The sequence below is a fragment of the Homo sapiens genome, chromosome 3 (genome assembly GCF_000001405.40).
Source record: "Homo sapiens chromosome 3, GRCh38.p14 Primary Assembly".
In the NCBI taxonomy this organism is placed as follows: domain Eukaryota; kingdom Metazoa; phylum Chordata; class Mammalia; order Primates; family Hominidae; genus Homo; species Homo sapiens.
In genome coordinates, this window is record NC_000003.12 from 78,953,394 (window position 1) to 78,968,409 (window position 15,016).

Genomic DNA, 15,016 nt, shown 5'->3' on the forward strand with positions numbered 1-15,016 from the left:
AAATTCTCTCAATCTCCCATCCACCAATTTATCCATTAGTTGTTTACCTGTATATTATTCCTATACTGTAGTATGAATTGTGTTAAGCATTGGCAGCACAAAGAAATATGAAATAGAATCCCTGATCTTAACAGCCTGAAGTCTACCAAGGGAGGCAGAAATATTAACAAGAATAATATTGAAAAATAAGAGCCATACAAGAGAAGACACCAGTAGAAGAAACTGGAATCAAAGGAAGAAACAGCGTGAGGGTAGAGGGACATAAACTACTGTAACACCTGAGGGGAAAGTAATTAAAACTAGAGACTGGATTCAGATGGTCTGGGTTCAAATCTAGCCTCTGGTACTTCTTAGTTGTTTGAACTTGAATAAACTGCTTAAACTCTCTGAATATTAGTTTCTCCATCTGTAAAATGAGGCTAAAATACCTACACTTTACAGGTTAGCATAAGTTCTAATGCACAAAATAATATTACATTGATCCATGAGTTGGAACCATTAATCAAGTATTTTGGAAGCTGTCATAAGCACCATTATTTGATTTTAGATTCTCCTCCTAACTCTTTTCTGGAATTACATTAGGATTCTTAGTAATTTGTAGATGAATTAATTATTTTCCCTAGATTTTTAAGAAACACTGAAAATAAAGCTAAATCTTTAGTTTAAGTTGAGCATTCAACTTAAAATAATTTTCCACTTATACAGGTCTTGGCAAGTTTTGGCACAATTCCAGCAGAGCATCTTTCAAAAGACAGAAAAGAAAAAAAAAACTAGAGCATTTAGCAGAGCCAACTTACTGTTTTACTGAGAAGCATCAGAGACTGACTAACTAAAGCCATCTATAATAAAGCATCTCTGTTCCTTGTGGAAAACATTGCAAATATATCCACTGAGTAAATGTATTGCTTTCAAAATTTTAAAGACACACTAGTGCTTTTAAAATATTACTGAGTGAATAGTCATATTGTTTTTCATCTCCTTTTCATTAAAAATACAAAAATACTATGGGTAGCCAGAGTATAGATTGTTTGTAATTGTGCATCCGTAACACTCATTCTAATGGACCAAAACATTTAGGTCTGAAAATAGAATATAATACAACAAATATAACATAATATAATATAGTAGCTTATTTCAGCTGTTAGAACCAATCAGACGTTTGAAATGTTCACTGACAAAGGAGTTTGGACAATATTTTTCAATCATGAAAAACAGCATTTGGGTGGTCCCAGGATTTTTTTTATTGCTATGGAAACATAGTTAATTATAATCTTCAGTTTTCTTTATATTAGAACAAATTATATGGTACTGCAATCAATGTGAATCTGCACTTCATTTCTTTATAATATAGAAATAGCAGATGGTTATATATTTGAGCCAACTATAACCTCAATATACAGAACATGAGCAGATTCCTCTATTGAAGTGGCAACTTAAAAGTACTCTTATAACTTATAAAATAAACCTTGCTTAACAAAACTACTTTGTTCTCAATTTAAATTTCTAAGGAGAGAATTTCTTTTTTCTGAAGTTAATCTTACTTTCGTGTTTAAAAACTTTTTTTTTTTTTTTTACTTTTATGTTCAGGGGTCATGTGCAGGTTGGTTATATAGGTAAACTGTGTGTCATGGGGTTATACAGGTAAACTGTGTTCCATGGGGTTATATAGGTAAACTGTGTGTCATGGGGGTTATACAGGTAAACTGTGTGTCATGGGGTTATATAGGTAAACTGTGTGTCATGGAGTTATATAGGTAAATTGTGTGTCATGGGGTTATATAGGTAAACTGTGTATCATGGGGTTATATAGGTAAACTGTGTGTCATGGGGGTTATACAGGTAAACTGTGTGTCATGGGGGTTATACAGGTAAACTGTGTGTCATGGGGGTTTGGTGTACAGATTATTTCATTACCAAGGCAATAAGCATGGTACCTGACATGTATTTTTTCTGAACCTCTCTCTCCTCCCAACCTTCACCCTCCGGTAAACCCCAGTGTCTGTGGTTCCCCTCTTTGTGTCCATGTGTTCTCATTGTAAAACCATGTTTTTAAGCTATCAAAGTATGTAAAAACAAGTATGAATATAATAAAATTCCTTAACCATAGGAGGGTTTTTAAAATTATAATTAAAGTAATATTTATGAGTTCTTTGTCTAAAGAGTTACATCAGATTTTCATGGAATCTGTATATTACAAATATAATTCGCCAAAAGTCAATAAACTAAAATCAATTAAAGTACTAAAAATAAAGCTTTCAACTTTTTGCATTAGGCAATCATACTTGTGTTATACTTCAATAACTCTTGATTCTAGGTGAGTTACTAATGTCTGCAAGATAGCATATGGGATTGCAATTTTAAGGATAACTGTCTAAAAACAATTACACTTTTAGAAAACAAAATACTTAAAATAACCTTTTAAAGGATTACTGAGAAATCCCTATAGGAATGCTGTCAACTTCACTCATTTTAAAAACTCAACCAGTACTTCTGACATGAGTAAGAATTCCTGAAGAAAACCTTTTACACATTAGCAAACTAATTGTATTCTTTCTCTCCTGATATCTTCCTCATATCTTTCTCATTATATCTTGGCTTTAGCTCTTGCAGATCCTAAGGGCACCCCAGTAAGATACTGAGAGGCAGCTTCTAATCATTTAGCACACAAGATATAGAAATTTGAAAGGTATTCCAAATGTTAATGCAAAATCTAAATTTTAAGTAATCATAAATACTTAAATAGTATCCTATAGTACATACTTTAGTAAATATTTAAATGAGTAATTAGTAATCTTTATTTTCTAAAGGGGTAAGTAAATAATTCATCATTCCAAAACAAATGTCTAGTTGATCTAATAGACAAAATAAGCCATAAATATTAACATATACAACATTTAATGCAAAAAGATTAGAATACCCCAAATTTTCCTAATTCCAAGAACATTTTATTATTGATAATATAATGCCTACATGCATTTATCATTTTGTATTTTAACGCAACTTTGAAAGGGAAATCTATTACTTAAACTATCTTGAGAGTGGTGTAATTCTTAATTTTGAAGGAAAAAAGCCATAAAAACCAGTTTTGTTGAAATATCTGTGTTTAATTAATAAATAATTAACCATAACTGAAATATTTCCACATCCCCATTGCCTGAAACAGCACCTAGCATGTGGCAGGTACTCAATAAACATTTGTTGAATGAATAATCAATAATAATGGAAGAAGAAAATGTTAAGTGATGCCATAGGCATTTATACCTAGTGGTATAGACAAGCATCATTCTTGGAGGCAGTCAGTGTACCTCTGAGCTGAAGATAAAATAAGGAATAGCCTTAATTCTGCTTATGGGAAGCAGAAATCCACAAGGGAAGGGAGTCTTGAAGACACAGCCTTCCTGTAAGCAATTGGCTATACAAGGCTCTTGGCCCATTCATGGCTGGAAGCTCTCCTTAAATTTAATTCTGAGGACACTGAAACCTGAAACGTGAACACAGTATCACATGTGGTATAAATACAAGAATTAACAGAGGTGAAAGTTGTACAATTCTAGCTTAAAAGACAGACTGAGAAAAAGAGAGACAGAAAAAGAAGAGACACAGAAGAAAGGTCTGAAAAGAATCTTAACATTATTTCTTAGAGGCTGTTGAAAAATGTGTAGTTTTTGTTTCCTTCTCTATAAGTGTGTGTCGTTTCTAAATAATCCACGATCTTCTGGTGTTATTTTCATAATAAAATCTTTTATTTTAGAAGTTCTGAAAACCAACAAATATTTTTTGGGAAAATATGGAGAAAATAAAATTGAACCTTTGTTAACTCTTTTGCATTCATTTATTCACTCGAAATATATGTACTAAATGTCCATGCTGCACCAGGTCTGCACTAGATGCTGGTGATACAAGAATGCCAAAAAAAAAAAAAAACCTTCAAAAAAACAAAAACAGTAAGTGGTACCTGTCTCTCTCTCTCTCTTTTCTTCTAGTTATTAAAGTTTCAAAGTTAATACAAATGGCAAGTGACACTGTGTGCACTTAATCAATGCATATGCACTTATATACCTCTTAGCCAGCTTTTTAACATGGGGGCCCGTAAACAACCAGTAAGCAAATCTGCAAGTTGTGTATGCAGAACTGCATGCAACACGGTTACAATGAGTGGGAGCAAATGCCTTCGACAAAAATAAGCTTTCCTGGAAATGTGAAAAGCCTGAGTGAGATTACATGAATAGAGACCACAAACCCTGAGGCGCATAGCTGCTCAGTCATGCCCTGTGTGATCCTTAGGAGTTAAAAGACTGGATATGGATTTAAACCGATTAACAGGTATCAATTGCCTCTTCTCTTTAGGAGGCAAATAGACCTAATTGTCTTACTTATCTTCCATGCCATTACATGCTAATTCCTAGTCTATGCTGCCCAGGGAAAACCATTTATTTAAACTTTACATTATTTTTCACTTCACATTTGATTATTTTTAAGCATGTGTGAGATCCTTCAATAATAATAAACCCAATTACGTTATTAAAATATACTTTCTTCCCACTCAGCCTGTAATAACTGATATATCTCAATATAATGGGTTTTGCTCTAGCTTTCTGCTAGCACAGAAACTACAAGTGACATAGACCGAGATGCAGCATAAGGTTCTTGGTTTTTTATATAAATTTACTTTGTCATTAATGTTAGGACAATATATAATACAGTCTTTTGAAAAAATAAGAGGATTTTTCTTTTGAAATAAGTATTTTGTTTACTACATATATGCATAAACGTCTGCTTTGGAAAAACCTAGAGCAAGGTTCAAAATATGGATAACTGTTTTCTTACCTATTCAGTCATAATCTCTGGGTACGAAGACTAGTAACTGGTCTTTTCAGGTATGCAAGGTGATTTCTAATGTACACTAAAGTTTGGGAATCTTATTCCTTAAAGGGCTTTGAACTAAAACATTTAAACATTTGTTAATTCTCAAAATAACTTTAAATTGTAGTTGGAGAAATATTCAAGTTATAATTCTTATTTATCCATTAGGCTAACATTTCAATGGTTTAAACATCATTTAGAAACACAAATAATTCCAAATTTTGATGTGTTTGAGAATTAGATATATCCCATCATTTTAGGACCAAGTTCTGAGAAATGCCTTCCGATAAGTACCCTCAGTTTGAAAACAGGAGTATCTCTTTTTCTGAACACAACTTTCAAATAAAACTATATATTAAAAAAATCCACGATTTCAAGTTTATCGATGACTTAGTAAGATTAACCAATTCTTTTAAATACAGGAATCTTATCCTACGTTGACCAATTCATCCCAGTTTAACCAGGACCGTCCCAGTTTAACCAGGATCATCCCAGTTTTAATAATTAAAGTTACCTCAATCAGTCCCAGGTAAACCAGGATGCTTGGTCACCCTTTCTTCTTCTTTTTTTTTTTTTTTTTTTCCTTGAGATCAGGTCTTGCTCAGTCATCCAGGTTGGAGTGCAGTGGCGTGATCTTGGCTCTCTGCAGCCTCAACCTCCCAGGCTCAAGTGATCCTCCCACCTGGGACCACAGGTGTACACTGCCACACCCGGCTAATTTTGTTTATTTTTAGTAGAGGTTTTACTATGTTGCCAGGTGGGTCTCCAACTCCTGAGATCAAGCTATCCTCCTGCCTCAGCTTCCCAAAGTGGTGGGAATACAGGCATGAGCACTGTACCGGCCCACCCTTTCTTCTTAATAAGTCAAGTGGAACAGACTGAAAGAGCAAATATCCCATCAAAAAAAATTAATCATAGTAACTAGTACCAAAAAGCATATTCAAATTGTCCTATGATATAAACTGTTTTAAAACAAAGAATGCATTACAACCAAATTTAAAAACAAAGTTTACTGAAAGGCAATATGTGTGAAAGAAAGAGATTGTCACATTACTATCATATTTGATAAACTAGTTTTATTATAAGAGTAGAATAGTCTACCTACTGTGAAAATACAGAAATAAATCCAATGCAAAGAGGAAAACTACAGTAAATTCTCTACTTGTTTTTTATATTAATTTTAAAACCAGAGGAATAATAATTGTTACATGGCAGAGACCCGAGAAAAAATAATCTAAAACAATGAATGGAAGTAAAATTATTTCAAATCAACAAATATTTACTGAGTAACTATTCTGTACAGACCCCTATAGATTGTAGATAGAAGCCCAAAATTTATAGCATTTATGGGCCTGTGATATAAGTATAGTAGACAAGGGAAGAAAGAACAGATCCACAAAAGTTCAATACAGAGCTATACCATAGATTTGCTAAAAGTTTTGTAAATTCACCCACTATGTGATCAACAAGAGATATATGCCATCTAAAAACTTCACAATGATACCATGAAAAGCAATATAGCAAGATCTGTGACAATATAGCATCTGGTGTTTAATACACAGATAGCACAACATTTCAGCAATGATAAATTCCTTGATTATTTTCACCTGATTCACAACTGGGGTTAGCTTGGAGGTTGAAAAGGTACAACCAAGGATTATTAGTCAAAAGTATATGCTTTTGGGGAGTGGGGGAGGGTGGCATGATTAAATTGTAAGATTGAAAAAACAGCCAGCTATTTCTGCAGCAAAAATTGTCTAATCAAGCCAGGTAACAGCGGTGCCTGTGGTCCCAGCTACTCAGGAGGCTGAGGTGGGAGGATTACTTGAGGCCAGGAATTCAAGGCTGTAATGCACCTATGATCACACCCGTGATTAGCCCCTGCACTCCAGCATGGGTGACACGGCAAAATCCCATCTCTAAAAACATAGAAAATTAAATTTAAACTTAATTTTTTTAAACTTATCTAATCAGAAATACAGTGCCCTTAAAAATGAATATCTGCAAATATCTACCAATGCAAATAGAGGTAATATTAATATGTAATATAGCAATATACTTTTATAATATCATGTTAACATATAGCAATATATATTTTATAATATATTAATATATTATATAGCAATATGTATTTGTAATATCTATATTTCTATGTATTATACATAAACTTAAAACAATTATTTTATATTTACCTGACTAAATAACACTATGGAAGAAGAAAAGTTAAAAGAATACATAATGGGTCCGGGTGTGGTGGCTCACACCTGTAATCGCAGCACTTTGGGAGGCCAAGGCAGGTGAATCACGAGGTCAAGAGATCGAGACCATCCTGGCTAACATGGTGAAATCCCATCGCTACTAAAAATACAAAAAGTTAGCTGGTTGTGGTGGCACGTGCCTGTAGTCTCAGTTCCTCGGGAGGCTGAGGCAGAATTGCTTGAACCCAGGAGGCAGAGCTTGCAGTGAGCCGAGATTGCGCCACTGCTCTCCAGCCTGGGCAACGAAGCGAGACTCCGTATTAAAACACACACACACACACACACACACACACACACACACACACACACACACACACACAAAATGAAAATGGTACAGGGTACAGAAAATACTTAAGGAATTAAGTATTTTTACTGGTTTTCCATTCACAAACTTTTTACTTGGCAAACTGTAAGCAGATCTGTTCTAGTGTTTTCTGTTTCGCATCACCCTAATCGTTGCAATACGCTGTATGTATAGCCAATTGGAATCTTATTTATGCCACTTTTCAGAGTTCTCATTTTCCTTCATAATAGTTTTGAACCATAATGTACAAAATACTATTTTAACTGCAATTTACAGAAAATTCCCTCTCTCTGAATTATTACCACTATACATATACTGGCAATACTTCTGCAACCTTTGAACTTAAAGATATTTATCCCTCTTTGCAAATCTGACACCCAAAAGTATGCAAAAGCCCTACCAAATACAACAATTGTAAATTTTTCATACAAAAAAAATTTGAAAAGACAGGGAGAGATGAATCAAAATTTTTATGGAACATAAGATGCAAGGAGATGGTCAAGATGACACTACTACCTTGTATAACCCACAGAATGCTTGTTCTGACTTAGTTCTGCACAGTTAGCTGCACTGATGTGTTTAAGAATAGTAAGAACAAATGGAGCTTTCTCAAAACATCTCAAAAGCACACAGGTAAGATTTTTTTTAAATTATCTCATTTATCTTGAATGTCAGGTTAGAACAATAGCTAAAATGTACTTACGTTCCAATTTGATTAGGTGTTTTAATTCTCATAGTACCCACAACATTCTGAAGTGGGCACTATTATTATCCATAACTTACAGATGAGAAAACTGAGGCACAGAAATGAAATAACTCATCCCAAATTTCACAGACACTAACAAGTGGAACTAATATTCAGACTCCTACAGTCTGTTCCAGAATGTGGGCAGTGAACCACTAAACTATAATGTAAAATAGTGCAATGGTGTAAGAATTCACCTTGTACAAGAATGTACTGCATAGACCCATAATTTTTTTTTAAGTCCTCAAAGTTAATTTAAATTGAAGAAAACTACAAAACACACTTTTGTTGTATGTGGTAGTTGGGAGGAGAGAAGGCAGTAGATTCATAGTCACAGTACTTGGGCTTTTCTTCTAGGCCCATGTTTTTTGTTTTTTGTTTTTTTTTTTTACCTCTCTACCCTCAGTTACTGGGTCGGTTTCTTCATCCATAAAATGAGGTTAATATAGCATGTTAAAGCTGGAAAAAGAACAGATAAATTCGTCAACCCTCACATTTTCCAAACAAAGGAAAACTAATCACTAGAGTGAAAATACTTGATCAAAGTTGACAACAAATAATCCCCTCTCACTAGAACCAGGATCCTGTTCTAACTCCCATGAACACCAAGTTAGGAGTAAAACTTTCCATAAAAGACACTAAAGAAGAGATGTTCTTTGCCTGTTCAGGCAAAGTGCCTGTGCTTCAAAGTGCCTGTGAATCTTGAAAGTGGAATGCAAATCTCTCTGGGTGTGAATGAAGATATAAACGCAACAGTCTTAGAAGAGGGTCTAATCTTTAAAAATATAAGTATAATTTTCTTTACTTTTTTGGTGGAATTTTTAAAAAGCTCAGCATGGTAAATCACTTGCACAATATTTCCCTAATAATTTGCAGTGAGCTGAGAGTCAAACTTAAAACTGTAAACTCCGGGGTCTGCCATCCTTCCCTGGTACTGTCAGAGAACACTCCTCCGCCTTGTCATTTTAAAACTTCTTTTCGGCCGGGCGCGGTGGCTCACGCCTGTAATCCCAGCACTTTGGGAGGCCGAGGAGGGCGGATCACGAGGTCAGGAGATCGAGACCATCCTGGCTAACACGGTGAAACCCCGTCTCTACTAAAAATACAAAAAATTAGCCAGGCGTGGTGGCGGCGCCTGTAGTCCCAGCTACTCGGGAGGTTGAGGCAGGACAATGGTGTGAACCTGGAGGGCAGCGCTTGCAGTGAGCCGAGATCGCGCCACTGCACTTCAGCCTGGGCGACAGAGTGAGACTCCATCTCAAAAAAAAAAAAAAAAAAAAAAAAAACTTTTCACATTTACTGTTCTCCTGATGCTGGACTCAGTACAAGACGAGTGAAGTAACACCTGTTATTATTACCCCTTGCCCAAGCAGGAAGTTCAAGTTATTTTCTGCTGGGAAGTAGTTTAGCAGACATTAATATTCTTAAGAAAGATAACAGCAATGCAGGCACTCGGTGTTGAGCATGGAGTATCTTAGTATCTTCCAGGTAAGTACTGGGCATTGGATACATGTGATCTCATACTTGATATATATATATATATATATTACCTTGCAATGCTGATGATAGGAGGGTGGGTATGAAGAACTAACCCTATCCTTCAAAACCTGATACAAATCTTATAATCTAGGAGTTTGGTATTTAGAAAGATTAGAGTTTTCAAGTTGAGAGAGCTCGGAGTCCAAGAAATATGGGATGAAGTACCAAAAGCAAAATATATACAGTACATTTCCAAAGAGAAAAGACAATCAAAAGTTAAGTGAAGTGGGCAGACTCTCTTCACAAAGAAGATGATGCCTTGGATGAACATGGTGGGTTAGAAATAATTTGAGTGGATCAGAGACTCTTTACCTCTGAAATTTGTTGGAGTTTTGTGTTTATAAACATATATGCATTTTTTTTAGAGAGAAGATCCAGAGGAAAACCTTCAGTTTTTTTTTTTTTTTTTTTTTTTTTTCTTTTTTTTTTTTTTTGAGACGGAGTCTCGCTCTGTCGCCCAGGCTGGAGTGCAGTGGCGCGATCTCGGCTCACTGCAAGCTCCGCCTCCCGGGTTCACGCCATTCTCCTGCCTCAGCCTCCGGAGTAGCTGGGACTTCAGGCGCCGCCACCACGCCTGGCTAATTTTTTGTATTTTTAGTAGAGACGGGGTTTCACCGTGTTAGCCAGGATGGTCTCGATCTCCTGACCTCGTGATCCACCCGCCTCGGCTTCCCAAAATGCTGGGATTACAGGCGTGAGCCACAGCGCCCCTCCCCTTCAGATTCTTTAAGAAGGTCATGAATATACAACAAATTTTAAAATAAAAAACAAAATAGTGAATGTATTAGTTTCTTTGGGCTGCAATAACAAAGTACCACAAAATGAGTGACTCATACAACAGAAATGTATTGAATTCCTCACAGCTCTGGAGGTTAGAAGTTCGAGATCAAGGTGTCAGTAGGGTTGGTTATTTCTCAGGGCAGTGAGGGAGAATTTGCTCCACCTCTCTCTCTCCCAGCTTCTAGTGGTTTCCTGGCAGTTCCCCGGCGGCTGCTGCATCACCTATCCTGATCCCTGTCTTTATCTTTACATGGTGTTCTCCTTACATCTCTATCTTTGTGTCCAAATTTCCCCTTTCTATAAGGACACAGCCATATTGGATTAGGGCCCACCCTAATGACCTCACCTTATCTCTAGCATTTGCAAAGACCTTATCTTCAGATAATGTCACATTCACAGATACCAGCGGTTAGGCCTTCAACAACATTTTGGGGGACAAAATTCAACCCGTAACCATAGGATAAGCAGAGATGTATGGAAAACGTGTCTCAAATGGGGTGTACAGGGGCAGAAAGGGAACAAGCCTAGCCTGGTTTATATGAAGGGTTCAGTTAAAGACTAGTGAAAATAGGAGTTAAAAGGCAAACTTTTGCCAAACTGTAGAGACCTAAATATGTCCAAAAAAAAGGCTTTTTGTTCTTAGCCTAATAGCAACACAGAAGTTCTTAAAAGAGTTTCAGAAGTACAGTGACATGATGAAAATGCTGTTTAGGAGCACTCAATTCACAGGGCTAGGGAGAATGAAGAGCAGTGGGAAGAGACTCAAAACCTGAGAAGATAACCATCCCCATAATACAGGAATGAAAGAACAGAGGTCATAAAAATGAATAAGAAATGAAAATTACGAAGAAAGAACTCATACAACTTAGTCCAATGGCTCAGAGTTTTAGGGGTCTAAAAGAGGAAAGCAAGCTTAGGGTTTTTTTTTTGTTTTTTTTTTTTAAACCTGTGTTTCATTTGAAACCTTTTTTTTTTTATTTTTGTAGAGACAGATTCTCTCTCTGTTACCCAGGCTGGTCTCAAACCCCTGGGCTAAAGTGATCCCCCCGTGCTGGGATTACAGGCATGAGCCACTGCGCCCAGCCTATGTTTCACTCTGAGAACGCAAAAAATATTGTCAATTTAAGGTCTTTTTTATACATTATATATGACTTCAAACTCTAAAAATTTTTATAAACCAACTTGAGGTTCAATAGATGATATAAATAATGTTGAGGTGAATTTCTTTCTCATAAACATAGAGTTTACTATTTCAAGGACTATATGTTTCACATTATAATCAATAATTATAATATATACTATATACTTTCTGAAACTCTTCTAAAACAATTTCCCTTGATAATTTATAAATTACATTCAATACATTTAGGAAAATTCTACCAAACTAGCACACTTACATTCAAGATTTAATGCTGAATTCCATGCACATTTTAACCAGAAGCTTTTTTTGATGATACACAGCATCCAATGGAATGCAGCAGTTTTAGGACAAATTCTGGAGGTTGCTTAGACCACTTAGTTTCCTTTTTTCATATCATCTTTAAGCCTGTTTTATAAAGCGATAAAATATTTAGGCCTTTCCTACTTCTTTGAGCAGAGTGAGAAATGTTCTTTGGGGGAAAGTTCTTTAGTGGGAAAATCCCTTATACATCAAAAAACTCTTCAGATGATTATCATTCCCAGGACAAGTTCAAGCCACCTAAGTAATTTATCTTCTTTAAGTATGTTTATTCATTTCAAAAAAAAAAATAAAGCATGTAATATGTTATTTAATCAGAAGCATTTTTAATATAAAACTCACTTTTATAAAGAAAATGTCTGCTTCTACATAAAACAGTAGTATTTAATAAGAATAACTTCAAAACATAATTTCTCACTCCATAACAATTATACTGGAGCAAAAATTCTGGGTTCTTACCCTCTAATCCAGCATTGTCAAATATAACTTTCTGCAATGATGATGAAAATGTCCTATTATGTGCTCTTTCTGAAACAGTAGCCACTAGTCACAGGAGGCTTTTGAATACTTGAAACTGAACTTTATTATTTCATTTTATTTTAATCAATTATCTTTAAATGCAACAAGCAACTAGCTATTGTGTTAGACCAGGGGTCCCCAATCCCCAGCTGCAGCAGCCGGCATTAGCCCCTGAGCTCCATCTCCTGTCAGATCAGTGGTGGCATTAGATGCTCACGGCACAAACCCTACTGTGAACTGAGCAAGCAAGGGATCTAGGTTGTGCTCTTCTTATGAGAGTCTAATGCCTGATGATCTGAGATTGGAGGTGGAATAGCTGCACTCCAAAACCATTCCCTGCCCCTCTCTGTCTGTGGAAAAATTGTCTTCTAAGAAACAAGTCCCTGGTGCCAAAAAGGCTGGGGACCTCTGTGTTAGACAACATTTTCTAACCTATGGTTAAGTGAAAATAAACGCAATGGGGGAAATCCCAATCTGTAGCAACAGCTTTTCAACACTGGTATACATTACAATGAAAATCTTAATTTGTATCTACTGATATTTAACTGCTTGGTACATCACAGTCGACGAGAGAGGTCGGGACTGCTAATAATTCAGATGTCAGAGAAGCCCACTTCTGATCTACTAAACTAAATCTCTTAGTGATGTAATTTAACAAGTACCAGAGGTAATTCCAAGGCACATTAAAGTTTGAGAACACCTGATTTCTTTCGCTTACAATCCAAAGTTAAGTCACTGGTTTTCTCTAACAGGAAATAGGTATTTGTACTGCTTAACTATTGAATTCTAATATTAAAACATATTGCTTTAATTTAAATACAATTGGCACCTCTTAATCAACATTTCTTATAGAGCTCCATCTCCTTAGAAATGACTGGAAAATAAATTATTTCACATTTTAAATACCACTAAGTATCAATTAATTTCCCTGGACAAATGCTACACTTCATCAGATCTGGTCTCTCTGTAGATCCCACAGTAAATGAATTATCTGCTTTAATTATAGCACACAACTCTTTCTTCAGTCCTACAGCTTTAAACCCATATCCTAATATTTGGTTACATATATCTATGTGACATTATTCTGATTCTCAATTTCCTCATCTGTAAATGAAATAAAACTGGAATGAAAACTCCTACCTCACAGGATTGTTACAACAGCCAAATGTAACGTACCTAGCAGAGTGTCTGGCACATATGTAATAAATGCTAGGTATCCAGTTTCCTTCCTTTTCCTAGTGACTGTTTTTCTATTTATTTCCCTTTTAATATACTCCATCTGTCAATACTGTTGATGGCTGCCTGAAATCACTTAACTCTTACTTGCAGGTTCAGGGCCAGAGGAGCCCTAGAGCACTGCTTCCCTCGGCAAGGGAAATATAAGGACATGTGACTCACTGGCTTCTCATCAAGTCAGTCCTGTAAGGCAGTTCTGTTATGACCTGGCCATGCTTTCCCACCTCCCCACCCCCACCCCATCCTTGAAGCTAAGCTATTGTTTTATCACTCCAAGCCAACCCCTATTCCTACAATTCCAAGCCAAGCCTAGTTCCTGTAACTAAAATCTAACTTCCCTCCTTCCAAAACCTTATTTTGAGGTTTTGCCTCACATCCATCTAACACTCCCCATTTCACTTTCTCCAAGAGAGAAAGAAACTGGGCACTGAAGTCTTCCCGAATTTAGACTGAACTTGGGAGTAGGAGACATACAGCATTAGATGTATCTTGTTAAAAACCTTTTTGTTTCTAACAAGCAATCATGACCCTCCTTCATTATTTGTGGAGTTCTATAGCTGTAGGGCCGGTCCCTTATTTTTAGTATTTTTTAATTTTAAAATGTTAATCCCTTGTATAAATACCAACAATCTAAAAAGATCCATAAATCTAATAAAAATATTTCAACATTATATACAGCAAAATGATTTATTTAACTTATAAGAAAAGATGGATAACTAGTCTTAAATTAGGGTGAAATTAAATGGTATCTTTAAAAAAAGAAAGGCAAAGAGAAATATTTTCAAACTGGCTATATAGTTAAGGTCATAATTCTCCTGAGGTTTACTTGCTCTCATCTTCCAAAGGTGAACACATCATAAACTTGCAAGTCATTTTGAGATTAGAACGGCAAACAAATAAATGTTTTCATTTCAGTTTAAGAAACTATGAGTGGAGGGAAATCAATCTTTCATCTTAAACACAGTTTATTTTTAAAGTTCTGTTACAGAAGTATCAAAAGATCTGCAAGTTTTATTTGTTATCTCATTGGAGAGGGCATGGAATTTAATTTTAAAGATAAACCACTTTTCTATGTCAATTTTATAAGGACCTTGAATGCTAACAAAACACTCAGGTGGGAGCCACAGGAGTCATGAAATGGAAAACATGTCACTTTATAGGAACTGTATAGATTCTTTTTTTTTTTTTTTTTTTTTAAGGCAGAGTCTCACTCTGTCTCCCAGGCTGGAATGCAGTGGTGCGATCTTGGCTCACTGCAACCTCTGCTTCCCAGGTTCAACCAATTCTCCTCCCGAATAGCTGGGATTATAGGT

General features: G+C 35.7%; 1 protein-coding gene across 17 annotated transcripts in view, besides 1 other annotated feature; it reads right to left on the minus strand.

The window, feature by feature from the left end:
- The window catches only part of ROBO1 (roundabout guidance receptor 1), a 1,170,760-nt gene that overhangs the window by 356,155 nt on the left and 799,589 nt on the right, over positions 1–15,016 (minus strand). The window lies entirely within an intron of this gene.
- Positions 4,031–4,613: an enhancer, noted in NCBI's record as "NANOG hESC enhancer chr3:79006574-79007156 (GRCh37/hg19 assembly coordinates)". NCBI's record gives its function as "activates a minimal SCP1, AML or CMV promoter by ChIP-STARR-seq in primed H9 embryonic stem cells {active_cell/tissue: H9 hESC(primed)}" and the evidence as "EXISTENCE:reporter gene assay evidence [ECO:0000049][PMID:30033119]".